Below are 27,765 nucleotides of genomic sequence, written 5' to 3' on the forward strand. Positions count from 1 at the left end.
AAGAAAGAAAGAAAGAAAGAAAGAAAGAGAAAGAAAGAAAGAAAGAAAGAAAAAGAAAGAAAGAAAGGAAAGAAAGAAAGAAAGAAAGAAAGAAGGAACCCATCTCTACTAAAAATACAAAAATTAGCTGGGGCATAGTGACACGCGCCCGTGGTCCCAGCTACTCTGGAGGCTGAGGTGCTGAGGGGCTGAGGGGCTGAGGTGCTGAGGGGCTGAGGTGCTGAGGGGCTGAGGGGCTGGGGTGCTGAGGGGCTGAGGTGCTGAGGGGCTGGGGTGCTGAGGGGCTGGGGTGCTGAGGGGCTGAGGTGCTGAGGGGCTGGGGTGCTGAGGGGCTGAGGTGCTGAGGGGCTGGGGTGCTGAGGGGCTGAGGGGCTGAGGTGCTGAGGTGCTGAGGTGCTGAGGGGCTGAGGGGCTGAGGGGCTGAGGGGCTGGGGTGCTGGGGTGCTGAGGTGGAAGGATCACTGGAGCCCAGAAAGCGGAGGTTTCACTGACCCACAATGGCACCATTGCTCCAGCCTGGGCGATAGAGCAAAACTGTGTCTCAAAAGAAAAAAGAAAGAAAAGAAAAAAATCTTTTCGTTTTTTATTCTAATCGAGATATTATTCACTTAGCATAAAATTCATCCTTTAAAAGTATGCAACTTAAGAGGCCGGGCGCGGTGGCTCACGCCTGTTATCCCAGCACTTTGGGAGGCCGAGGCAGGCAGATCACGAGGTCAGGAGATCGAGACCATCCTGGCTAACACAGTGAAACCCCGTCTCTAGTAAAAATAGAAAAAATTAGCCGGGCGTGGTGGCGGGCGCCTGTAGTCCCAGCTACTCGGGAGGCTGAGGCAGGAGAACGGCATGAACCCGGGAGGCGGAGCTTGCAATGAGCCAAGATGGCGCCACTGCACTCCAGCCTGGGCGACAGAGCGAGACTCCGTCTCAAAAAAAAAAAAAAAAAGTATACAACTCGGCCAGGCGCGGTGGCTCACGCCTGTAATCCCAACACTTTGGGAGGCCGAGGTGGGCGGATCACAAGGTCAGGAGATCAAGACCATCCTGGCCAACATGGTGAAACCCCGTCTCTACTAAAATACAAAAACAAACAAAAAAAGAAAGCCGGGCCGTGGTGGTGCGCGCCTGTAATCCCAGCACTTTGTGAGGTTGAGGAAGGCGGATCTCTTCAGCCCAGGAGTTTGAGACCAGCCTAGGAAACATAACAAGACCACATCTCTACTAAAAATACAGACATTAGCCGAGAGCGGAGGCTAACCTGTAGTCCCAGCTACTTAGGAGGCTGAGGTAGGAGGATCACCCTAACCTCGGGGAGGTTGAGGCTGCAGTGAGCCAAGATCACGGCATTGCACTCCAGCCTGGGTGATAGTGAGACGCTGTCCCCTCACCCCCCAAAAAAGTATATAATTCAGTGATTTTTAGCATATTTGCAGTTGTGCAACTATCACCACTATCTAATTCTAGAACATTTTTTTTTTTTTTTTTTTGAGACAGAGTCTTACTGTGTCTCCCAGGCTGGAGTCTTGCTCTGTCGCCCAGGCTGGAGTGCAGTGGTGCGATCTCGGCTCACTGCAAGCTCTGCCTCCTGGGTTCACGCCATTCTCCTGCCTCAGCCTCCTGAGTAGCTGGGACTACAGGCGCCCGCCACCACGCTCAACTAATTTTTTTTGTTTTTGTATTTTTTATAGAGGCAGGGTTTCACCATGTTAGCCAGGATGGTCTTGATCTCCTGACCTCGTGATCCGCCCGACTCGGCCTCCCAAAGTGCTGGGATCACAGGCGTAAGCCACCGCGCCTGGCCTAATTCTAGAACATTATCACCCTGTTTTATTTTATTATTTATTTTTATTTTTATATTTTTGAGATGGAGTCTCGCTCTTGTTGCCCAGGCTGGAGTACAATGGCACAATCCTGTCTCACTGCAACCTCCACCTCCCAGGTTCAAGCGATTCTCCTCAGCCTCCCCAGTAGCTGGGATTACAAGCACCCGCCACCACGCTCCGCTAATTTTGTTATTTTGGGTAGAGATGGGGTTTCGCCATGTTAGCCAGGCTGGTCTCGAACTCCTGACCTCAGGTGATCCGCCCGCCTTGGCCTCCCAACATGCTGGGATTACAGGGGTGAGCCACTGCTCCCGGCCCACCCCATTTGATATTTATTTATTTATTCATTTATTTAGAGACAAAGTCTCAATCTGTCGCCCAGGCTGGAGTGCAGTGGCAGGATCTCAGCTCACTGTAAGCTCTGCCTCCCAGGTTCACGCCATTCTCCTGCCTCAGCCTCCTGAGTAGCTGGGACTACAGGTGCCCGCCACCACACCCAGCTAATTTTTTTTGTATTTTTAGTAGAGACGGGGTTTCACTGTGTTAGCCAGGATGCTCTCGATCTCCTGACCTTGTGATCCGCACTCCTCGGCCTCCTAAAGTGCTGGGATTACAGGTGTGAGCCACTGCGCCTGGCCTATTTATTTTTTATTTTATTTTATTTATTTATTTATTTATGTTTGTTTTTTAGAGGGAGTTTCGCTCTATCGCCCAGGCTGGAGTGCAGTGGCATGATCTCAGCTCACTGCACTTGCCTTCTGGGTTGAAGTGACTCTCATCCCTCAGTTTCCTGAGTAGCTGGGATTATAGGCGCCCGCCACCATGCACAGATAATTTTTGTATTTTTAGTAGAAATGGGGTTTCACCATATTGGCCAGGCTGGTCTCAAACTCCTCGCCTCAAACGATCTGCCTGCCTTGGCCTCCCAAAGTGTTGAGATTACAGGTGTGAGCCACTGTGCCTGGCCTATTTATTTATTTATTTGAGACGAAGTCTTGCTCTGTCACCCAGGCTGGAGTGCAGTGGTGCAATTTCGCGTCACTGCAAACTCCGCCTCCTGGGTTCGAGAGATTGTCCTGCCTCAGCCTCCCGAGTAGCTGGACTACAGGAGCCCGCCACCATGCCCGGCTAATTTTTATATTTTTAGTAGAGATAGGGTTTCACCATGTTGGTCAGGCTGGTTTCAAACTCCTGACCTAGTGATCCACCCTCCTCAGCCTCTACTAAAAACACAAAAATTAGTTGGGCATGATTCCAGGTGCCTGTAATCCCAGTTACTTGGGAGGCTGAGGCAGGAGAATCGCTTGAACCTGGGAGGCAGAGGTTGCAGTGAGCCAAGATCCTGCCACTGCACTCCAGCCTGGGTGATGGAGCAAGACCCTGTCTCAAAAAAAAAAAAAAATTAATTAAATAAAATAAAAAGAAACTTCATACCCGGTAGTAGTCACTTCTCATTCCTCATTCTCTCCAGCTTTAGGCAACTACTAATTTAGTTGGATTTCCTATTCAGGACATTTCCTGTAAATAGAATGGTACGCTATGTGGCCTTTTGTGTCTGGCTTCTTCCACTTGCCATAAATAATGTTTCAAGGTTCATCCATGTTGTAGCAGGTGGCATTCCAGCACTTCCTTCCTCTTCAGGGCTGAATATTCCATGGTATGAATGTACCCCATTTTGTTTATCCATTAATCAGTTGATTGACATTTGAGTTATTTGTACTTTTTGGCTATGATGGCTATGACGAAGAGTGCTGCTGTCATCATTTGTGTACAAGCTTTTGTGAGAACATGTTTTCAGTTCCTTTGGTTTTATACTCAGAAATGGAGTTGGTGGGTCAAATGATAACTCTGTTTCACTTTTTGAGGAACTGCCAAACTGCTTTCCATAGTGAAACTGCACTTTTTTTTTTTTTTTTTTTTTTAAGAGACAGAGTCTCTGTCACCCAGGCTGGAGTGCAATGACATGATCCTAGCTCCCTGCAACCTCGAACTCTTGGGCTCAAGCAATCCTCCTGCATCAGCCTCTCAAATAGCTTGGACTACAGGCATAGGCTACCACAACTGGCTAATTTTTGTATTTTTTTAAATTTCTTTTGAACAAATGTATTACTCCAGAATTTTTTTTTTTTTTTTTTAAGGAACAGGGGGCTGGTCTTGAACTCTTTTTTTTTTGAGACCAAGTCTCACTCTGTCACCCAGGCTAGAGTGCAGTGGTACGATCTCGGCTCATGGCAATCCCCACCTCCCAGGTTGAAGTGATTCTCCTGCCTCAGCCTCCCGAGTAGCTGGGATTACAGGCATGCGCCACCACACCTGGCTAATTTTTGTATTTTTAGTAGGGGTGGGGTTTCACCATGTTGGTCAGGCTGGTCTCGAACTCCTGACCTCAGGTGATCCCCTGCCTCGGGCTCCCAAAATGCTGGGATTACAGGTGTGAGCCACCCACCCAGCCTCACCCATTTTATTTGAAGAGTTTTGTTTTGTTTTGTTTTGTTTTGTTTTGTTTTTTAGATGGAGTATCTCTCTGTTGCCCAGGCTGGAGTGCAGTGGTGTGATCTTGGCTCACTGCAACCTCCACCTCCAGGGTTCAAGCCATTCTCCTGCCTCAGCCTCACGAGTAGCTGGGACTACAGGCACGTGCCACCACGCTCGGCGAATTTTTTGAATTTTTAGTAGAGACGAGGTTTCACCATGTTAGCCAGGATGGTTTTGATCTCCTGACCTTGTGATCTGCCCGCCTCAGCCTCCCAAAGTGCTGTATTACAGGTGTGAGCCACCACGCCTGGCCTAGGTGTTTGTTTTTTGTTTTGTTTTGTTTTTGAGATGGAGTTTCGCTCTTGTTGACCAGGCTGGAGTGCAATGGTGGGATCGCAGCTCACCGCAACCTCTGCCTCCCAGGTTCAAGCAATTCTCCTGCCTCAGCCTCCCTAGAAGCTGGGATTTACAGGCACGTGCCACCATGCCCGGTTAATTTTGTATTTTTAGTAGAGATGGCATTTCTCCATGTTGGTCAGGCTGGTCTCGAACTCCCGACCTTGGGTGATCTGCCCGCCCCAGCCTCCCAAAGTGCTGGGATTACAGGCATGAGCCACTGCGCCAGGCCCCTAGTTTTGTTTTCTTTTTTTTTTTTTTTTGAGACAGAGTCTCACTCTGTCACCCAGGCTGGAGTGCAGTGGCGCGATCTCGGCTCACTGCAAGCTCTGCCTCCCAAGTTCACGCCATTCTCCTGCCTCAGCCTCCTGAGTAGCTGGGACTACAGGCGCCCGCCACCACGCCCGGCTAATTTTTTGTATTTTTTTTTAGTAGAGACAGGGTTTCACCGTGTTGGCCAGGATGGTCTCCATCTCCTGACCTTGTGATCCGCCGCCTTGGCTGCCCAAAGTGCTGGGATTACAGGCATGAGCCACCACGCCCGGTCTCTATTTCTGTTTTTAAAACGAGTCTTGCCCTGTTGCCCAGGTTGGAGTGCAATGGCATGATCTTGGCTCACTGCAACCTCTGCCTTCTGGGTTCAAGTGATTCTCCCACCTCAGCCTCCCAAGTAGCTGGGATTACAGGCACCCGCAATCGTGCCCGGCTAATTTTTGTATTTTTGTAGAGATGGGGTTTCACAATGTTGGCCAGGCTGGTCTTGAACTCCTGACCTCAGGTGATTCACCTGCCTCAGCCTCCTAAAGCATTTTTAGTTATTTTTTGTATATGGTGTGAGATGGATCCAAATTCATTCTTTACATGTGCATATCAGCACTTTTTTTTTTTTTTCGAGATGGAGTCTCACTCTGTCACCCAGACTGGAGTGCAGTGGCGTGATCTCGGCTCACTGCAACCTCTGCCTCCTGGGTTCAAGCAATTCTCTCCCTCGGCCTCCCGAGTAGCTGGGATTACAGGTGCCCGCCACCACGCCCGGCTAATTTTTTTGTATTTTTAGTAGAGACAGGGTTTCACCATCTTAGCCAGGCTGGTCTTGAACTTCTCTCAGCACATTTTGTTGAAAAAACTATTCCTTTCCGGCTGGGCACGGTGGCTCACACCTGTAATCCCAGCACTTTGGGAGGCCGAGGCGGGCGGATCACGAGGTCAGGAGATCAAGACCATCCTGGCTAACACGGTGAAACCCCGTCTCTATTAAAAATACAAAAAAAAAAAAAAAAAAAAAATTAGCCGGGCGTGGTGGCGGGTGCCTGCAGTCCCAGCTGCTCGGGAGGCTGAGGCAGGAGAATGGCGTGAACCCGGGAGACCGAGCTTGCAGTGAGCCGAGATCGTGCGACTGCACTCCAGCCTGGGTGACAGAGCAAGACTCCATCTCAAAAAAATAATAATTATAAACAAATAAATAAATAACTATTCCTTTCCTTCACAGAATTGTCTTGATGCCATTGTTGGAAATCAATTGATGATGAGTGTGAAGGTTTATTTCCAGGCTCTTAATTCTATTCCACTGTTCACCTTGTTTATCCCTATTCCCATACCACACTGCCTTGATTTCTGTAGCGTTATAGTAAGTTTTGAAATCGGGAAGTATGAGTCTTCCAACTTTGTTCTTCTTTTTCAAGACTGCTTTTGGCTATTTTGGGTTACTTTCATTTATTTCCATATGAGTTTTAGGATCAGCTTGTCCCTTTCTGAAAAAAAAAAAAAAAGAAAAAAGAAAAAAAAAGACAATAGGAATTTTGATGAGCTTGTATTAAATCTGTATATCTATTTTGGGAGTATTGCTATTTTAATTGCAATATTGTCTTCCAATCCATGAACACAGGATCTCCTTCCATATTTTAGGTCTTATTTAATTTTTTTAACTTCAACAATGTTCTATAGTTTTCAATGTAATTTCTTTATTTTTATTTATTTATTTATTTTTGAGATGGAGTCTTGCTCTGTCGCCAGGATGGAGTGCAGTGGGGCGATCTCGGCTTAGTGCAACCTCTGCCTCCCGGGTTCAAGCGATTCTCCTGCCTCAGCCTCCCAAGTAGCTGGGACTTCAGGTGCGTGCCACCATGCCCAGATAATTTTTTTATTTTTAATAGAGACAGGGTTTCTCCATGTTGGTCAGGCTGGTCTTGAACTCCTGACCTCAAGTGATCTGCCTGCCTCAGCTTCCCAAAGTGCTGGGATTGCAGGTGTGAGCCACTGCACCTGGCCTTTTTGTATTTTTAGTAGAGGTGAGATTTCACCATGTTGCCCAGACTGGTCTTGCACTCCTGGGCTCAAGCAATCCTCCGGCCTCTGCCTCCCAAAGTGCTGGGACATGAGCCATTGTGCCTGGCCTTAGAGTGTTTCTTTACTGGTTTAATGGATATTTCACAGAGTGGCTTACCAGGGAGCAAGCAGGTAAATGGAGAGAGAAGGAAAGCCCAGGGAATTAGTGTAGTATGAAGAACATCAGGAGACACAAGCTTTAGCTCCACATCTGCCGTAAACCCTTCTCTAGGCCTCAAAGAACTCGCTTGACATCCCCAGGCCTTAGTTTCATCTGTAAGATCAGGGAGGTTTGATAGGATGGATCACTAAGGATTCTCTCAACACTTCACATCCTAAGAAGACAGGTAACACGCACGCCATTTTCTCTAACAAAAAACACCAGCACTTGGCCAGGCACGGTGACTCACACCTATAATCTCAGCACTTTGGGAGGCCAAGGCGCACAAATCACTTGAGGTCAGGAGTTTGAGGCCAGCCTGAGCAACGTAGCGAAACCTCATCTCTACCAAAAATACAAAAAGTAGCCGAGCCTGGTGGCACATTCCTGTAATCACAGCTACTTGAGAGAGTGAGGCAGGAGGATCGCTTGAACCTGGGAGGTGGAGGTTGCAGTTAGCCAAGGTCACGCCACGGCACTCCAGCCTGGGCAACACATGAGACCCCCATGTCAAACAAACAAACGAAAAACCAGCCTAGAAAGGATGTTTTTATTTTTATTATTTATTTTTTTGAGATGGAGACTTGCTTTGTCGCCCAGGCTGGAGTGCAATGGCACGATCTCAGCTCACAGCAACCTCTGCCTCCTGGGTTCAAGCGATTCTCCTGCCTCAGCCTCCCGAGTAGCTGGGATTAAAGCTGCCCACCACCATACCTGGCTTTTTTTTTTTTGTAGTTTTAGTAGAGACGGGTTTCACCATGTTGGCCAGTTGGTCTCAAACTCCTCACCTCAAGTGTTCGGCCTGCCTCGGCCTCCCAAAGTGCTGGGGTTACAGCCGTGAGCTACCGTACCAGGTCAACCTTTATTTTTTTGAAAATATCTTTTTTTCCCCCCAGTATTGTAAGATTTAGGTCTAGCCTATGGCACCTAGTATCCCGAGGTGGTCTGCCATCCAAGTACTAACCAAGCCTCGCACTGCTTAGTTTCCAAGATCAGCTGAGACCAAGGACGTTCAGGGAAATATGGCCATAGAGAAAGCCCTTACATTATTCTGGAACTGATTCCAACACTGAAAAACATTCTGAAGCAATCAGCTCCAACGAGGACTGTGCCTACCCCAGGTAATGAGAATGGTGACCCACAGGAGGGAATATTAGAGCTTCTATTTATATGGGACATACAGCGTACGTATCAGGACAGCAGCTGCTATAGCTTACAAGTCAATTAATAAGCAGTGCTGGAGGTGGAGGTATGCACTGGAAACTTTTTTTTTTTTTTCCAGGCAGTGTCCTTCGCTCTGTCACCCAGGCTGGAGTGTAGTGGCACTGTCTTGGCTCACTGCAGCCTCCGCCTCCCGGGCTCAAGAAATCCTCCCACCCCCGCCTCCCAAGTAGCTAGGGCTACAGGGGTGCCCCACCACGCCCAACTAATGTTTGTATTTTTTGTAGGGATGGGGTCTTGCCCTGTTGCCCAGGCTGGTCTTGAACTCCTGGGCTCGAGATCTTCCCACCTAGGCCTCCCAAAGTTCTGAGATTACAGGCGTGAGCCACTGTACCCTGCCTAGAAATCTTTTGAATCTGGAGTATGTGACCAAAAAGGCTTGAAGACCACTGATGTAAGAAACTAGTCACGTAGGCGGCCAGACCCATCATTTCACAACCTAACAAATAGGTGGGTGAAGTATCATGACTAAGACATCGCAGTTGCTGATTCCAGGATGGTTTGTGCGCTGGGGACATACAACAATTCCTTCTATCAGTTTGGGCTATGACCAGGGGTCTACTCCCAAATTTACTTATTTTTTATTTTTTTGACCTCCCGAGCTCACAAAATCCTCCCACCTCAGCCTCCCGAGTAGCTGGGACCACAGGTATAAGCCACCATGCCCCGTTAATTTTTATTTTTTGTAGAGATGGGGTCTTCCTATGTTGCCCAGGCTGGTCTCAAACTCCTGGTCTCAAGCAATCCACCCACCTTGCCCTCCCACAGTGCTGGGATTACAGGCGGGAACCACCACTTCCAGTCCTAATTTTCAGTTTTGTTTCTGCCATTATTCTTGTTTTTTTTTTTTTTTTTTGAGATGGAGTCTCGCTTTGTCACTCAGGCTGGAGTGCAGTGGCGCAATCTTGCGAGGCTCACTGTGAGCTCCGCCTCCCGGGTTCACGCCATTCTCCTGCCTCAGCCTCCCAAGTAGCTGGGATTACAGGCATGTGCCACCACCAGCTAATTTTTGTATTTTTTCAGTAGAGACAGGGTTTCATCGTGTTAGCCAGGATGGTCTTGATCTCCTGACCTCGTGATCCGCCCACCTCGGCCTTCCAAAGTGCTGGGATTACAGGCGTGAGCCACCGCGCCCGGCCTATTCTTGTTTTTTTTTGTTTGTTTTGTTTTTTTTTTTGAGATAAAGTCTTGCTCTGTCTCCTAGGCTGGAGTGCAGTGGCATGATCTCGGCTCACTGCAATCTCCACCTCCCAGGTTCAACCCATTCTTCTGCCTCAGCCTCCCGAGTAGCTGGGATTACAGGCACATGCCGCCATGCCCAGCCAATTTTTTTGTATTTTAATAGAGATGGGGTTTCACCGTGTTGCCCAGGCTGGTCTTGAACTCCTGAGCTCAGGCAATCTACCTGCCTTGCCCTCCCAAAATGCTAGGATTACAGGCGTGAGCCACCGTGCCCGGCCCATTATTCTTGTTTTTAGACCAGGAGCTGGCAAGCCTTTTATATAAAGGGTTGGATAGCAAATATTAATGCTTCAGGCTTTGTAGGCCATATAGACTCTGTAACTATGCAACGGTGCTGTCGCAGCTCTCACACTGCCAGAGACAATACATAAGAGAATGGGCATGGCTGTGTTCCAATAAAACTTTATTTATGGACACTGAAATTTGAATTTCACATACTTCTCACATGTTAGAAAATATTCTTTTTATTTTTTCCAACCATTTAAAAATGTTCTCAAAACCATTCTCAGCTTATGAGGCCAGTGAAAAACAGGTGGCAGGCTGGACTTGACCCATGGACCATAGTTGGCCAATTCCTCTTTTAGTCCACACAAGTTTCTTTCTTTTTTTTTTTTCTTTGAGATGGAGTTTCACTTTATTGCCCAGGCTGCTGTGCAATGGCGCGATCTCGGCTCACCGCAACCTCCGCCTCCCGGGCTCAAGTGATTCTCCTGCCTCAGCCTCCCGAGTAGCTGGGATTAAAGGGCTCAAGGGATTCTCCTGTCTCAGCCTCCCGAGTAGCTGGGACTTACAGGCACCCACCACCACGCCCGGCTAATTTTTGCATTTTTAGTAGAGACAGGGTTTCACCATGTTGGCCAGGCTGGTCCCGAACTCCTGACCTCAAGTGATCAGCCCGCCTCAGTCTTCCAGTGTTGGGATTACAGGCATGAGCCACTGCGCCTGGCCACAAATTTGTTTCTTAAGCCTATTTCCCCATAGGCAGGGAAAAAAAATGGGACATTTGAGGACACAATAAACCTATCTTCATAAAGGTACCTCCAAATAAGATACACACAAAAAGCAGAAACTGTGGGAACAGAAAGCTAAACAGAAATCCAGCATCAATGCAGGAATTGAGAGCTTTGTATAATTTACCTGTATCCAGGAGTAGAGGTGGAAGAGACTGTAGGGCCTCTTGTTCCTACCACCAGTTTAGGTATCTTCACAAAACACGACTTACAGGTTCATGCTGTTGAATTTCCTACAATTAATATGGTTTGGGCCAGGCGCAGTGGCTCACGCCTATAATCCCAGCACTTCGGGAGGCCGAGGTGGGTGGATCACGAGGTCAGGAGTTCGAGACCAACCTTGCCAACATGGTGAAATCCCATCTTTACTAAAAATACAGAGCGAGACTCTGTCTCAAAAAGAGAAAAAAAAAGTTACATGAAGTATTCAGACTAATTTAACAGGCACCTAGCTATCCTACCTTTGCATGATACTCAGTTTTGTTTTTTTTTATTTTTTTGAGATGGAGTCTGGCTTTGTCGCCCAGGCTGGAGTGTAGTGGCGTGATCTCAGCTCACTGCAACCTCCGCCTCCCCGGTTCAAGTGATTCTCCTGCCTCAGCCCCCTGAGTACCTGGGATTACAGTAGGTGCCCGCCACCAAGCCCAGCTAGTTTTTGTATTTTTAGTAGAGACAGGGTTTTGCCATGTTGGCCAGGCTGGTCTTGAACTCCTGACCTCATGTTGATCCTCCCACCTCAGCCTACCAAAGTGCTGGGCTTACAGGTGTGAGCCACTGTGCCTGGCCACAGTGATATTTCTTTACTGAAAGATGATGATGGCCAGGGACAGTGGCTCACGCCTGTAATCCCAACACTTTGGGAGGCCGAGGCAGGCGGATCACCTGAGGTCAGGAGTTCAAGACCAGCCTGCCCAACATGGTGAAAGCCCGTCTCTACTAAAAATACAAAAAATGAGCCGGGCATGGTGGCAGGAACCTGTAATCCCAGGTACTCGGAAGGCTGAGGCAGGAAAATCGCTTGAACCCGGGACGTGGAGGTTGCAGTGAGCCGAGATGGCGCCACTGCACTCCAGCCTGGGTGACAAGAGTGAAACTCCATCTCAAAAAAAAAAAAAAAAAAAAAAAGATGATTCAGACCCAATAGTGTGGCCCTTGCCCCTCTCAACCCAGTAAGGCACTTACCACCCAGAGTGGGCAGCGTTAGAGGATGGAGCCAACTTACTGAGAATCGGACTCTAAAAATAAGCATTCGGCACATTTCTTTTAGCCTCTTCTCTCTCATAAAGGCCTCCACAGATGGCTTCTTTACATCATGCTCTCAAATGACTAGCTGATAAATATTCATACTTATGGAAATTGTATTGTACATACTCCAAACGCCCAGCCAGTTAACATTTGTATCTTCTGTATCTCGGGGGTGGTGCCCTTTGTTCATATGTAAAAAGCACACATGCACATGTATACACACACACACACAACCAGCTTTCTCCTCTATGACTAATTTGCCTAGAGCAGTGATTCTCAACCAGGATTGATTTTGCCCCCCAGGAGACATTTGCCAACGTCTGGAGAGATTTTGGGTTGTTAAAAATGTGGGGATGATGTGTGCTCCTGGCATCTGTGGGTGGAGGCCAGTGATGCTGTTCAACATCCGACAGTGCCCAGGATACCTCCACTGCAAAGAATGACTTGGCTCAAATGTCAACAGGGCCCAGGCCAACCCAAGGTGAAGCAAAAACAAGACTGAGGGAGAGCAAAACCCCAAGGGAAGGAAGGTCAAAGCAGCCTGGAATTCTAACAGAAAAACACAAGGGGGCTGGCGGAGGCACGATCCAAAGTTTGCTTTCATCTTTTACCCTCTAAGACTGGGTCTTACTCTGTCACCCAGATTGGAGTGCAGTGGAGCAATCATGGCTCACTGCAGCCTCCACCTCCCCAGCTCAGGCAATCCTCCTGCCCCTCAGCCTCCCAAGTAGCTGGGACTACAGGCACGTGGCACCATGCCCAGCTAATTTTATTTTTGTAGAAGCAGGGTTTTGCCATGTTGGCCAGGCTGGTCTCAAACTCCTGGCCTCAAGTGATCCACCCGCCTTGGCCTCCCAAAGTGTTGGGATTACAGGCATGAGCCACTACAAGCAGCCATTCTTTTTTTTTTTTTTTTTTTGAGATGGAGTCTGGCTGTCCTCCAGGCTGGAGTGCAGTGGCGCGATCTTGGCTCACTGCAAGCTCTGCCTCCCGGGTTCACGTCATTCTCCTGCCTCAGCCTCCCAAGTAGCTGGGACTACAGGCTTCCACCACCACGCCCAGCTAATTTTTTGTATTTTTAGTAGAGACGGGGTTTCACTGTATTAGACAGGATGGTCTCGATCTCCTGACCTCATGATCTGCCCGCCTCGGCCTCCCAAAGTGCTGGAATTAAATGCCTAAACCACCATGCCCGGCCTTCGGCCATTATTTCTTACTCAAATTAATACTCAGCAGGGTGCTCACACATGTAATCCCAGCACTTTGGGTGGCCAAGGTAGGTGGATCACTTGAGGCCAAGAGTTCGAGATCAGCCTGGCCAACATGGCGAAACCCAACCTCTAATAAAAACACAAAAATTAGCTGGGCATGGTGGCGGGCGCCTGTAATCCCAGATACTTGGGAGGCGGAGGCAGGAGAATCCCTTGAACTCGGGAGACAGGTTGCAGTGAGCCGAGATAACGCCACTGCACTCCAGCCTGGGCGACGGAGTGAGACTCTGTCTCAAAAAAACAAAACAAAACAAAACAAAAAAAAAAACAAAAAACATATAAATACCCAATTTATTTTTTATTTTTTGAGACAGAGTTTTGCTATTGTTGCCCAGGCCGGAGTACAATGGCACGAACTCGGCTCACTGCCACCTCTGCCTCCCAGGTTCAAGTGATTCTCCTGCCTCAGCCTCCGAAGTAGCTAGGATTACAGGTGTCCGCCAGCTCGCCAGCTTTTTGTATTTTTAGTAGAGACGAGGGTTCACCACGATGACCAGGCTGGTCTTGAACTCCTGACCTCAGGTGATCCGCCCGCCTCGACCTCCCAAAGTGCTGGGATTACAGGTGTAAGCCACCGTGCCTGGCCAATGCACAATTTATTAAGGTTATACATTTAAAAACCTGTTTCTTTCAATTTTCAAACTCAAAAATACTGAATCAAATTTTAGTTAAAACACTTCCTTTTGACTTGTTCCTCAATTAATGCTCAATTATCTCATATATTCAGGAGGTTAAATCCCCCCTAAACATTAATGCTATTTACAAATTTGATCGAATACCCTTACGCATTTCAAGCTAAAATTTGAACATCCTTCTCCCAAGTATTTGAAATAATCACAGAGAAACTCCCAGACAAGCCATGCACTAAACGCTGCTCAGATTCCCACTCGCATCCCAGCCCTTTCTCCCTCCCACCGCCTTCCGCAGCAGTCCAAGACAGCAGCCCACTCCGGGCCCACACACTGCACCTGGGCTGGGCACCGCCCCACCCTGGCTGGCTCCCTGACTCAGTGCCTGTGCCATCTGCAAAGGCACGGTGACAGCACTTACATTTTATAAAGACACTATGAAGATGTTCATGAGATCTGCGAAGACAGCGCGCAAAGAAAGCACAACCCGTGACTCGTATTTAATTTATTTAGAATCTTACAAAAACAAAAAACAAAACAAAAACCACCACAACAGAAAAAAAAACTAAATACAGAATTTGTTACGCTTCACGGTTGATCGTTTTTACTTGCAAGAGTAAATAAACCTTGCTAAAATGCAGCCAGTACATTTTTATTGCATGAGACCAAATTTTTCAGTTACATATCAAAAATGATTGGGATAATCAATTCCGGACGCTTGGTACCGTGCTCCCACGAAAGGCTGGATGCAGCAATGCAGTATCATTGGAACAGGGCGCACCCTTCACACACTGATGGACACGCTACAACAGGAGCGATAACAAAAGGGAGATTTAAAAAAGAGAACCAAATGAAAACACACCAAGAGCTGACATCCACCTTTGTTTCAAGTTGTCTTTGGATCCCATCAGATGTTGTCTCCAGATGCACCATGTCAGATTAGTAAAGGAGAACCATCTACACCTACATAGAAAAGTATCCTTTGCTCAGAGGAGGTAGAACCTGGCCAAAGTTTTATTGCAGAGATACAGTGTACCTCTTCCCACCTCTCATGGATGATGGAAGATACAAGTGGTTATTGAAAAATCATATCAGTAGTTTGCAAATTCAGTATAAACCATGAACAGGATATTTTTCTGATAGCGGTGAGACTGCAATGTGCTATGTAGAAAAAAAGCTCTCTCTGCCCCATAAAGTGGGAGTCAGAAAGAGGGCTCAAGCTTCTTTATCCTCTTCAGTGCCATAAATACTGTCACAGCAAAAAGGCCTTCAGTGTCTGCTGGCCAGAAACATCTGCCCAGGCACAAATGGGCCACAAGGGCAGGGTACTGGTTAGGGGCCCGCAGTGGAAAAGCCAGACAGGTTCTCACCAGGGGCCTGCAGAGTGGCCTTCACTCTGGAGGACGCCTGAATTACAAGTATCAAAAAGAACCCGCCTTTTTGGGCTTCTTCTTTTCCTTGCTTAGCCCTGCACTAAGGGGCAGTCTTGCTGGACGGTGCCCTGCCACGTTGCGGCAGCCCAGATGGCCGCACTGCCAACCACAGCACGGCTTCCCCATGGGCGCCAGAGGGAGACTGAGCAAGGAGGGTCTGCGTGGAGGATGCACACTGGAGGCAATCTGTGACAGGCCCCAATTCACGACAAATTTAGTTCCCAAGACTGATCCAAATACAGAATGCTTTTACATTTTTCACCAAGTCTACCAAGTTGAATAGTAATGAATGAAACTTGTACATGAATGAAAAGGCCCCAAAGACGCTCACGGCAATCCTTGAAAGTTATAAAGGAACATTTTCTTACAGGTGCAAAATTGTGAACAAATACCCAATGTCTGCCTCCCGGGTGCTCAACACCATCATTTTGATGAACCATCCGGGTCTTCCCAACTCGAATTATTAAAAACGCCTCGATCCCGCTCTGCTTCTAGGCTTACGGCTGATGTAGACAAGATCCACTCACCGATACAAGGGTGGAGAGCACAGCCGTTCAGGGTACCCCAGGGACCAGTGCTGCAATGGGAATCTGCTTGTCTCACCCTCCAGCAGAGTCAGCCTAGGAGGCTCCAGAGCAGTTGCTTGGCTCTCTTTTGGAGGACAATTGTTCCTTAATGTACATTCTCTCTCTTTTTTTTTTTTCGAGACGGAGTCTCGGTCTGTTGCCCAGGCTGGAGTGCAGTGGCGCGATCTGGGCTCACTGCAAGCTCTGCCTCCCAGGTTCATGCCATTCTCCTGCCTCAGCCTCCTGAGTAGCTGGGACTACAGGCACCCGCCACCACGCCTGGCTAAGTTTTTTTTTTTTTTGTATTTTTAGTAGAGACGGGGTTTCACCGTGTTAGCCAGGAGATGGTCTCAATCTCCTGACCTCATGATCCGCCCGCCTCGGCCTCCCAAAGTGCTGGGATTACAGGCGTGAGCCACCGCACCCGGCCAATGTACATTCTCTAAAGTCACCTGTCAATAACACACTAGGCCTGCCTCCTGCCTGCTATAAATATCCTCAACAGGTTATAAACAGCAGCAGGCTACCTGTGTTCATTGCAAGTAAATTACTCATCATTTGTAGGTTAAAAGCATAGGCCCGACTTCTTAAATAAACATAGGGAATTTGCTGCAGCAGCAGGCCAGAAACCACTGTTTCAAATCTGCAAGATTTTCCTATCAGGTGGGAAGACAGAGATAAGAAATATGGTAAGGCCTGAAAAATTGCAAAAGTAGAAGCAAGTCAGGTTTGCTGATCTAAGAGCTAAGTTTGATCCCAAATGCACTGAAGAAGTTAGAGGAGCTTAAAGAAGTCTCAGGAAGCATTTTTTAAAATGTGAAAACATCAGGCTCACTATAGCTTCCAAAGAACAACATAAACGAGCATCAGCAGTCATACAATGACAGTATCAGAAATGGCACTCAAGTGCATCCCCCCAGTACAATGCATTGCACACAACACAATAAGACATAGTAAAAAACATTAACACAAAACAGGAATTCTACAGCAAAGATGCAAAACTGAATTCTAAAATACAGGAACAAATACTTTTCTAAATGAAAAGTTTTCCATACTTTTCTTAAAAAAAAAAAAAAAAAAAAGTCATAAGATGCCCCATATGGGAAAGTCAAGAAAAGAATAAATAGAGCTGAAGGGAAGAGGGAAAAGGGAGAAACAGGTGGGCAGAGTCCCAATTTACAAGAATTATTTACATTCAGAATCCAGAAGAACTCAACATTTCTCTATATATACATTTATGTACATATATATAAATACAGCACAAAATTAGAGGGTGGGTTTTGGATTTTATCTCAAGTACTCAAAAAAAAAATGCTAGCGAGCTTGAGTTGCAGGTATTTAGGTGTGTTTCTGTCACTTAAAAGACACTGCATTTGTATCAGACAACTGGCATTCAATGAGACATTTTTTTTTTTTTTTGCAGTTTTTGCTCTCAGCTGTAGCCCTGACATGAAACGCTTGCTACGTTTCTGCAGCAAAGTGGGCCGAGCGCAGTACGCACAGGTGTGGTGTTAGCCAGGGAGACCGAAGCCACACAGAAGGGGAGTCAGTAAATGTCCATCTCCACGGTGTCTGCCTTTGCCATTGGGAGGCCTGAACTAATCAAACGTTCATTAATAGGATCCCAGCCTAACAGCAACGCTTATGTAGCACCATTCTTAGAAACTACCAAGTATCACACAGGTACATGTGTATGGGGACCTTCCTCTTGACTGCTTGTCAAGAAAAGGATCCAGAGGGAACTTCTGCCCCTACTTCCATGAAGTGAGATGCAACAATCATTTCCAATCTATTTTTTTATCTCATGCTAAAATGAAAGTGGAGGGGAGAGGGAAGAAGGCTCCCATTCTACAATTATAAATGCTGTCCTGGTAGCCTTTCTTCTCTTGCCGGCTAACAATTGTTCTAACAGCATCCCATGGAGGCCAGCAAATGAATGCCCCAGGGACTACAGCCAGAAAATTGTGCCTGTAAAATATCATATTCCTCTGGAGCTTGGTAATATAGAAATTTTACCTCTACAGATGAGGCAAACTAAAATATTGTTGTAACTCAAAAAGGCTTCTGAAGTGCTGAGTTAGAATAAATATATATAGATACATACACACACTACATTGCTTTGGATGCAGGTTCTTACTAATTTATATACACATGTAAAGAGAAGATACTGAAGTGTCTAACTGTAATTTAGCAGCAGAAAAAGAAAACTGCTTAACATATTTGCTTCTTAATCAAGTTGTGTTTAAAGAAATGCATTAATACTCCTATGAATTTGTATCATTGATAGTGTATCTGGATAATCCCAGTAACTACAGACAGAGACCTTGTGGTATGGAGGTTGCTAAATGAGGGGAACACTAATTCCCCCAGAGATAACATCTGAGCTGCTTTAGACTCTGGAAGTGGTTTTCAGTACAATTGACGCTGTAAACTCTGAAAACACGAACATGATTTCCAACCAAATCTTTGTGCTCAGAGCCATATTGCTAAAAAGAAAAAGGCATTGCAGAGGCAAAGTGGACATGGGGTTAATTAAACAAGGCCTCTGAATTCAGGTGTGGCATTTAGATCCTGCAATGAATGGACCTATTTTACAGAAGTCAGCGGCAAATTTTTTGTATTTTTTGGTACAGATGGGGTTTTGCCATGTGGACCAGGCTGGTCTCGAACTCCTGGCCTCAAGTGATGCACCTGCCTTGGCCTCCCGAAGTGCTGGGATTATAGGAGTGAGCCACCACGCCCGGCTACGAGTTGGGTTTTAACAGAAGAGGACCTTGAATGCTGAAGCTTCACAGGGCGGCCAAACTAACTCGCTGATTTTTGCAAGACCACAGTGTAAAGGTCGGATGTCCACCTGAAGAAGGGGTGGGTGCAACTCTCTGGGTGCTGCACACACCATGACCAGCCTGGGCATGCAGCACCCCAGCTCCCATCCATTCACACTGGTTGCCTTTGTGAGGTCCATTTTGAGAGGGCTTTCAGAGGCCTTTTTAATGAGAAAAAAAAATAGCTGTTCTACAAAGAACCTAAGATACATACACTCCTATTTATCAAGATGGCTAGTCCAGAGCAAACATTACATCATAGGCCATGGGGGTTGTCACTTAGCTGCATGCTAAGAATCCTCATATGCTGCTTTGAAAACGCCATAAAAAACTAAGATGCCCTCATACACAGAAAAGAGGAGTTGGGCCAACAGCCTGCGAGAGAAGATCCTTCCCAACTCTGCCATTCTTACTGCAGGAGGGTTTGTAATGCTTCCCCACTTCCTCAGGTCCAGCGACTGCACCTCCACCACTGGAGTGGGGGACACTTCCATTGCTGATGGAAGCTGCCTACTGCTTTTAAAAACACACACATGAGCTGAGAAGTTCTGCTGAAGGTGGGGAGAGTGCTGCTCTTGGCTGCCAGCCGGGTCTAGCGGCCCTAACAAGGGAAACTGGCTGATACAAAATGGATCACTGCCTGAGATATATGAACTGGACTGAGGATAGAAGTTGCATCCGCTGGGCAAAATGTGCCAAAGAACAGAAAGTACTTTCAATTTATTCTTTTAGGCACCAAGAATAAATAAATCCTAAGAAAACTTACGGTAAGCTTGACATAACCAAACTCAGGCTAAAGGAGACACAAGAGGATGAACGCCCTAAGCTTTCAGCCAGGTTTGTCAGTTTTAACACACATCTCACCCAATTCTGCAAGAAGTTTACAAACAATTCAACTTAAAAAACATTCAGAAGTACTATCATTATACCCTTTCCCTCAATGCCATCTTACATTTTAGGGATAAGTTTTAAGCCAAACTATAAGGCTACCTGGAATGCTGAGACAACACACAAATTCTGCTGAGTCCCCGTCACAGACTACTTCTGAAGGTCACCAGTGAGGGCCTAAACAAGAGTCCACTTCTTGTTAGTATAATAACTTTTTATTTGACATCTACAAGATTTTGGCATCTTGCAGCTTTTTACCAGGTTTATACAATCTCGATTTTTCAATAGTGCAACCTGTGGAAGCAAAAAAAAAAAAAAAAAAAAAAAAAAAGAAAAAAAGAAAAGAAAGAAAAAGAAAGAAAAGATAAAAAGACCAACTGTCCCCTCACTTGTTTTTATAAACATCTATTATAGGCGAAACAAAACTTACCCATATTATATAGATAAGTGTCTATTCACATTTGTACATTACCATTTTTAACAGCTTGAGATAAACTCTACGTCTTACAACACATTAAACAATATTCAAGTTACTGAGTAACAACAATAACAACAATAACAAAAGAACACACAGCAGAAGCCTCAAGTGTTTCCTCATTGTCTACAACTCAGGTATGGTTTCCTTTTTATGAGTGACAAAGCAAATTAAGATAATGAAGTAAAAAACGATTGTTTGCAAGATGAAAGCCAATTTGTACTTCCTTCTAAAACTACCTTTAAGTTGCAAATGTAAATTTAAGAGGCTCATAGCCATTTCTGCAGCACACATTAGGAATACTATTAATACATTAAAATTAACTTTTAAGAGTTTTATCACAGAAAAATGTATGTATTCATTACCTTGACCAGAAACCCAGGGCAGGGAGAAGGGGAAGGAGGGGTCTGCAGGGTTTGAAGCAATACCCAGGTATAAACACTATAAAAATGCAATAACCAATGCTGTACATCTAACAAATGTTTCTCTCTGTTACTCGACTCCTGTGTTAATCTTGTTTCAGCATGCTTCCAAAGACATGCACTGTCAGAACAAAAATTAGAAAATAACCTGAATGCATGATATGCAACCTTTCATTTCATGCTTTAATAAACCTATTAAGTTGGAAAAAGAAACCAATATATATTTTCTATATTTATAGACTCAAAACACATGCATCCGGGGATACCTCCCACAGCAATGGCATGGATGTACTGCGTTAACCCTGAGCACTGTATAAACATAAAGTAAAGCCAGTTTGGGAAGTTCCAAGCATTTTAAACCAACTGTGGTCTGTAGCCTTTAACACACTCACAAACAGACTGACACACACGCACACACACATCCCCCTCTGCTCACCCGAAGTAAAAGCAGATGGGAATTATCAGGGGAGAAGCTAAAGGAAAGACATATGTACCACCATCAGCACTGCTGATTTTCAGTTTTGCTATCTATTCCAGGTTTGTCCTTACTCCCAAAAAAACTAACTAGAGAGCACAACTGAAAAAAATATATAATTCTTTGGAAACTGTCCCTGATTTTTATGCAAATGATATGCTTCAACAGCATTTCAGATCCATCCATGTTGAAACCTGTCTGTTCTTCATGCGTTGCTCAAGTTGGTGATGCTCTGAGGGTGATGCTGTTGCCATAGCTGTTTCTGTTGGACCGCAAGCTGTTGAGACTGGTCTGAAGTTGATAGGAGATTTACAAGAGGAGACACACAATTTGCCGGAATGATCAAACCTGTAATTAGTAACAAGAATTTATCAAGTTGTGTCCAGAAGAAACCACACTGTACAGCTTCACAGCAGATTCCAAATGAGGCATAATATTAAGCGTAATGGACAAGAAGTTCACACAAAAATTAAACGACTACCTAATAAATGAAATGGCCATTGAGATGTAGTCTGATTCTTCCACAGCATTTCCCACAAATACCCAAGCATATGCATGTGTTTAGTGTAATGCTATCTTGTTGGAGGAATAGGAAGTCAAGAATATCTATTATTCTCTTTTTAACAGGAGGTTAAGAATATCTATTATTCTATGTATTATCTTTTAATGCACCAAAAGACTACAGAACAGAAGTTGCAAATTCAAATGCTAACCGAAACAGGTTAACTTAGAAGAGCAGATACTAGCAAACTGGAAAGGATACTCTCTGGGTGCTGGTTAAGGGAACTTTAAGTCCTGCATGTAGGATTGAAGGCTCAATGTTCCAGATAAATTGCATGCATATATATATGTGTTTTTTTTTTTGTTTTTTTTTTCTGAGATGGAGTATTGCTCTGTCGCCAGGCTGGAGTGCAGTGGCACAATCTTGGCTCATTGCAACCTCCGCCTCCCGGGTTGAAGTGATTCTCCTGCCTCAGCCTCCCAAGTAGCTGAGACTACAGGCACCTGCCACCACGCCTGGTTAATTTTTGTATTTTTAGTAGAGACAGGGTTTCACGATGTTGGCCAGGATGATCTCGATCTCTTGACTTCATGATCCACCTGCCTCGGCCTCCCAAAGTGCTGGGATTATAGGTGTGAGCCACCGTGCCCGGCCCTATTTGTTTTTTTTTTAAATAGAGACAAGGTCTCACTGTGTTGCCTAGGCTGGTCTCAAACTCCTGGACTCCAGCAATCCTCCTGCCTCAGCCTCCCAAAATGCTGGGATTACAAGGTGAACTACCATGCCCAGCTGATGGGCTGCTTTTGAAACTGGAAATCTAGACTTTTATATGAAACCTCTTGATTTTTAAATGTTGGCAATTAATTCAAATGAGGCTGGGCTCGGTGGCTCACGCCTATAATCCCAGCACTTTGGGAAGCTGAGGTGGGCGGATCACTTGAGGTCAGGAGTTTGAGACTAGCCTGGCCAACATGGTGAAAACCCATCTCCACTAAAAAAATATAAAAATTAGCCAGGTGTGGTGGTGCATGCCTGTAATCCCAGCTACTCGGGAGGCGGAGGTTGCAGTGAGCCGGGAGCACGCCACTGCACTCCAGCCTGGGCGACACAGTGAGACTCAGTCTCAAAAAAAAAAAAAAAAAAAAAAATTCATTAATTCAAATGAAAACCTACAACATCCCAAAATACTGGTGTCCAAAAAAAAAAAAAAAAAAAAAATTCCATAGACTGACTTTGGCCCATGAACTCCCGATATGCAATCCGTGGTAGAGGAAGGCTGCTGTAAGCGAAACCAAGATAAGCAAACAGAGTCCAGTTGCTGCCCTGCTTCCTGGACACCTGTAGTTGAGCACACGGTGAGAATAGCTGGCCTAGTCTACCCTTGCTCCCTGCAGGACACCAAGCCATTCTCTGTGCACAGTGGCTTTTGAATTCCAGAGTCTTAAGTTAGCTCAATGGAGAACTCCTGGGCAAGAGGCTGAACTGTCTACACACCAGGGAGCCTGCACAGCCACCAAGAGTAGAGAAGGAGAGCAAGAGCAGCTGAGAGCAGCATCAAAGAGATGACCACATCATAACTTCAACCAGAACCAACAATGTCTGTTTGAAGGCTTAACTTCTGTTCAACCTTGTAAGAAATATAAAACGGGTCCCATACCCACTACTGGAAGAGATGTTAGATGCATGTGGAATAAAGCTAAGATATTAGCAATGAGAAAAAAGTCGGATCCGATTTTTTCCTGCAACTCAAACCAAAACAAAAATTAGACTCACCTACAATCCGTTGCCCATCTTCCGTTCTTAGCCGCACGATCTGCATCTTCACGTTTGTGCCACTGACAGATGCTAGAACACCCTCAACTTTTGTCCAGACACTCAGCACTGAACCACATAATACATAATATGTACGGCAACGAAGACCTATTTCACAAACTAGCCCCAAGCTTGCTTTTTTGCAATTGCCGCGCCTAAGAAAAATGGGAAAGAAATACATATGAGTGTCTATATATGCACACAGACACGTTTCTAAAAGATTTACAAGGTCAACTCAAATTTCTTTTCTTTTCTTTTTTTTTTGTTGAGATGGAGTTTTGCTCTTGTTGCCCAGACTGGAGCGCAGTGGTGCGATCTCGGCTCATTGCAACCTCTGCCTCCCAGGGTCAAGTGATTCTCCTGCCTCAGCCTCCCGAGTAACTGGGACTTTTTTTTGTTGTTGTTGTTGTTTTGTATTTTTAGTAGAGACGGTGTTTTGCCATGTTGGGCAGGCTGGTCTTAAACTCCTGACCTCAGGTGATCCACCCTTGGCTTCCCAAAGGGCCGGGATTACAGGCGTGAGCCACCGCTCTTGGCCTCAAATTTCAAATAAACAATGTTTCAGCAGTATTTGCCTTTACTATTTCTTAGATTATAATTCTGTTGGCCCATTGGGTTAGCATTTCCAATTTAAGGTATCAGGCTGATTTTTAAAACCACGATTTTTTCAGGGGCCTGCCTCCCAATAAAAAGGGTTGAATTTATTGTGTTTGCTATCTGTTGAAGCATTTTAGTCATTTTAATATCCATTATTTTACTGCAATATTGCTACTTTATAAAATGATCTTGCTAGCCGGGCAGGGTGGCTCATGCCTGTAATCACAGCTCTTTGGGAGGCTGAGGAGGGAGTATTGTTCGAGTTCAGGAGTTTGAGACCAGCCTGTGCAACATGGCGAGGCTCTATCTCTACAAAAAGTTTAAAATAATTAGGTATGGTGGCTCATGCCTGTAACCCCAGCACTTTGGGAGGCTGAGGCATGCAGACAGCTTGAGACCAGGAGTTTGAGATCAGCCTGGCCAACGTGGAGAAACCTCATTTCTACTGAAAATACAAAAATTAGCCAGGTATGGGCTGGGTGCGGTGGCTCACGCCTGTAATCCCAGCACTTTGGGAGGACAAGGCCGGCTGATCACAAAGTCAGGAGACTGAGACCATCCTGGCTAACACGGTGAAACCCTGTCTCTATTAAAAATACAAAAAATTAGCCAGGAGTGGTGGCAGGCACCTGTAGTCCCAGCTACTCGGGAAGCTGAGGCAGGAGAATGGCGTGAACCCAGGAGGCGGAGCTTGCAGTGAGCCGAGATCGTGCCACTGCACTCCAGCCTGGGCAACAGAGTGAGACTCTGTCTCAAAAAAAACGAAACAAAACAAAACAAAAAACTGGCTGGGCACGATGGCTCACGCCTGTAATCTCAGCACTTTGGGAGGCCGAAGCAGGCAGATCATGAGGTCAGGAGATCCAGAGCATCCTGGCTAACATGGTGAAACCCCGTCTCTACTAAAAATACAAAAAATTTGCAGGGTGTGGTGGCGGGCACCTGTAGTCCCAGCTACTCGGGAGGCTGAGGCAGAAGAATGGCGTAAACCTCAGAGGCGGAGCTTGCAGTGAGCCAAGATCAGGCCACTACACTCTGGCATGGGCGACACAGCAAGACTCTGTCTTCAAAAAAAAAAAAAAAAAACAAAAAAGCCAAGTGTGTTGGCGCATGCCTGTAATCCCAGCTACTCAGGTGGTTGAGGCACGAGAATCGCTTGAACCTGGGAGGCAGAAGGTGCAGTGAGCCAAGATGGTGCCATTGCACTCAAGCCCTCTGTTTAAAAAAGAAAAAAGATCCTGAGAGATCCTGCCATGAAAAAACAAGCAATACCTGTGAAAAGAAAAGAAGGAGGGGGGAAGATCCTGCCAGTTATTTCTATATTATGAAACTACTGATACACTGGTTCTAAATCACATTAGTGGGAAGGACTCAGCAATCTAGAGAGATGGAAAGGGGTGGGAGGGGAGCGAGAGGCTACATGTAAATTTAAGAAGAAATGAGAAAAAGGAGAAATACCATCAATGTTTTCTGGTTAAAATTATCTTCAGAATATTCATCAATAAAGATGCCCTTCTGGTTAGTACTAACTCAAGACGAATCTAATACAGTGTTAAATGTAGGTATATAGGACACTTTTCTTGCTATAACTCAAAGCAAATGTTTGTTGTTTTTTAAGTTAATTTTTTGTAGAGATGGAGTCTTGCTGTGTTGAGGAGGTTGGTCTCAAACTCCCGGCCTCAAGCAATCCTCTCATCTTGATCTCCCAAAGTGCTAGGAGCCACTGCACTGTCCCCAGAGGAAATGTTTTAGAAAATGTTTAGGCCAGGCGCAGTGGCTCAAGCCTGTAATCCCAGCACTCTGGGAGGCAGAGGCAGGCGGATCACGAGGTCAGGAGATCAAGACCATCATGGCTAACACGGTGAAACCCCGTCTCTACTAAAAATACAAAAAATTAGCCGGGCGTGGTTGGCGGGTGCCTGTAGTCCCAGCTACTCAGGAGGCTGAGGCAGAAGAATGCCGTGAACCTGGGAGGTGGAGCTTGCAGTGAGCCGAGATCACACCACTGCACTCCAGCCTGGGTGACAGAGCGAGACTCCATCTCAAAAAAAAGAAATGTTTGTAGGGGCAAGGCGCGGTGGCTTATGCCTGTAATCCCAGCACTTTGGGAGGCCGTGGTGGGCAGATCACAAAGTCAGGAGTTCGAGACCAGCTTGGCCAACATGGTAAAACCCTGTCTCTACTAAAAATACAAAAATTAGCTGCGCATGGTGGCAGGCACTGTAGTCCTAGCTACTCGGGAGGCTGAGGCAGGAGAACTGCTTGAACCTGGGAGATGGAGGTTGCAGTGAGCTGAGATCGTGCCACTGCACTCCAGCCTGGGTGACAGAGCAAGGACACCATCTCAAAAAAAAAACAAAAAAAAACAAAAAAAAAACCCAAGTTAGTAGGTTAACTTTTAAAACTTTTTTTTTTAGACCACGTCTTGCTGTCATCCAGACAGGGGTGCAGTGCCACGATCTCAGCTCACCGCAACTTTTGCCTCACAGGCTCAAGCGATTCTCATGCCTCAGCCTCCCAAGTAGCTGGGATTACAGGCGTCTGCCACCATGCCCTGCTAATTTTTTTATTTTTAGTAGAGACGTGGTTTCACCATGTTGGCCAGGCTGGTCTTGAATTCCTGGACTCATGTGATCCATCTCGACCTCTCAAAGTGCTGGTACTACCAGCAAGCCAATGGTGCCTAGCCAGCCTACCTTTTAAAACATTTTATCTTACAGATTTTTTCTAATTTTCAGTGGCACTAATTTACTCTCATAATGAAAACCAAAAGCACTACTCACATCAAAGCCAACTTATCTACCTGCAGAACAGCCCAAACAATCAAAACAAACAAAAAGCCCCTCAAGCTAAAATTCATTTACATCTCATATTCCTTTTCATGAAGTGGGCCAGATACTGTAAGAGCATTAACTACTTAATGAGGGAGAGAACAATGAGAAGAAAACTATGATTTGCAGAGTATAAGAGTATACGAGGTCACAAAGTGAACACTGTAAGCCAAGGGGTGAGGGGGCACAGCAGGAAGAGCTCCAAGACTCAACAACAAAAGTTTGCATGTGCTGTGCTATTAACTTTGGGAATCTCCCTGGTTTCTTAGACATTCCCTAGATCTGGGACACCAGTAAAGCTTTTTTAAAAAAGAGAGGAAGAAAGAAAAGAGCCCAGCTACTCAGGAGGCTGAGATGGGAGGAGTTTGAGGCTGCAGTGAGCTATGATTGCTGCACTGTACTCCAGCCTAGGTGATATAGGGAGACTGTCTCTTTAAAATAACCAACCAAACAAAAAAACATGAAGGGAGAGTGACAGAAGGAGGGCGAAAAAGTGGTTTGTTTTTTTTTTTAAGAGACAGTTTTTGCTCTTGTTGCCCAGGCTGGAGTGCAGTGGTGCAATCTCGGCTCACCACAACCTCCGCCTCCCGGGTTCAAACAATTCTGCCTCGGCCTCCTGAATAGCTGAGATTACAGGCATGCGCCACCACACCCAGCTAATTTTTTTTTTAGTAGAGAGGGTTTCTCCATGTTGGTCAGGCTGGTCTCGAACTCCCGACCTTAGATTATCCACCTGCCTTGGCCTCCCAAAGTGCTGGGATTACAGGCGTAAGCCACCACACCTGGCCTTATTGTTTTTTTTTTTGTTTTTTTTTTTTAATGGAGTCTCGCTCTGTCCCCCAGGCTGGAGTGCAATGGCGCAATTTTGACTCACTGCAACTTCCACCTTCCGGGTTCAAGCGATTCTCCTGCCTCAGCCTCCCAAGTAGCTGGGATTACAGGTGCCTGCCATCACACCGGCTAATTGTTTTGTATTTTTAGTAGAGATGGGGTTTCACCATGTTGGCCAGGATGGTCTTGAACTCCTGACCTCAGGTGATCCGCCCACCTCAGCCTCCCAAAGTGCTGGGATTACAGGCGTGAGCCACCACACCCAGCCGTGAAAAAGCAAGTTCTAATATGAAGGATAACTGTTAAGGTCA

The 27,765-nt window shown here is 46.0% G+C and overlaps 1 protein-coding gene and 1 pseudogene across 2 annotated transcripts in view; both read right to left on the bottom strand.

The window, feature by feature from the left end:
* RNA5SP375 (RNA, 5S ribosomal pseudogene 375) lies at positions 8,095-8,213 on the bottom strand (annotated as a pseudogene).
* SBNO1 (strawberry notch homolog 1) overlaps positions 14,288-27,765 on the bottom strand; it is a 75,739-nt gene continuing 62,261 nt past the window's right edge. For both annotated transcript variants that reach the window (NM_018183.5, NM_001167856.3), the window contains exons 31-32: positions 23,157-23,350; positions 14,288-21,229 (exon numbers count right to left, since the gene is read on the bottom strand). In NM_018183.5, the coding sequence (NP_060653.3) occupies positions 21,087-21,229; positions 23,157-23,350 (337 nt within the window). In that variant the 3' untranslated portion in view covers positions 14,288-21,086. The remainder of the gene's footprint in view (positions 21,230-23,156; positions 23,351-27,765) is intronic.

The sequence above is a fragment of the Homo sapiens genome, chromosome 12 (assembly GCF_000001405.40).
Source record: "Homo sapiens chromosome 12, GRCh38.p14 Primary Assembly".
Classification (NCBI taxonomy): Eukaryota; Metazoa; Chordata; class Mammalia; order Primates; family Hominidae; genus Homo; species Homo sapiens.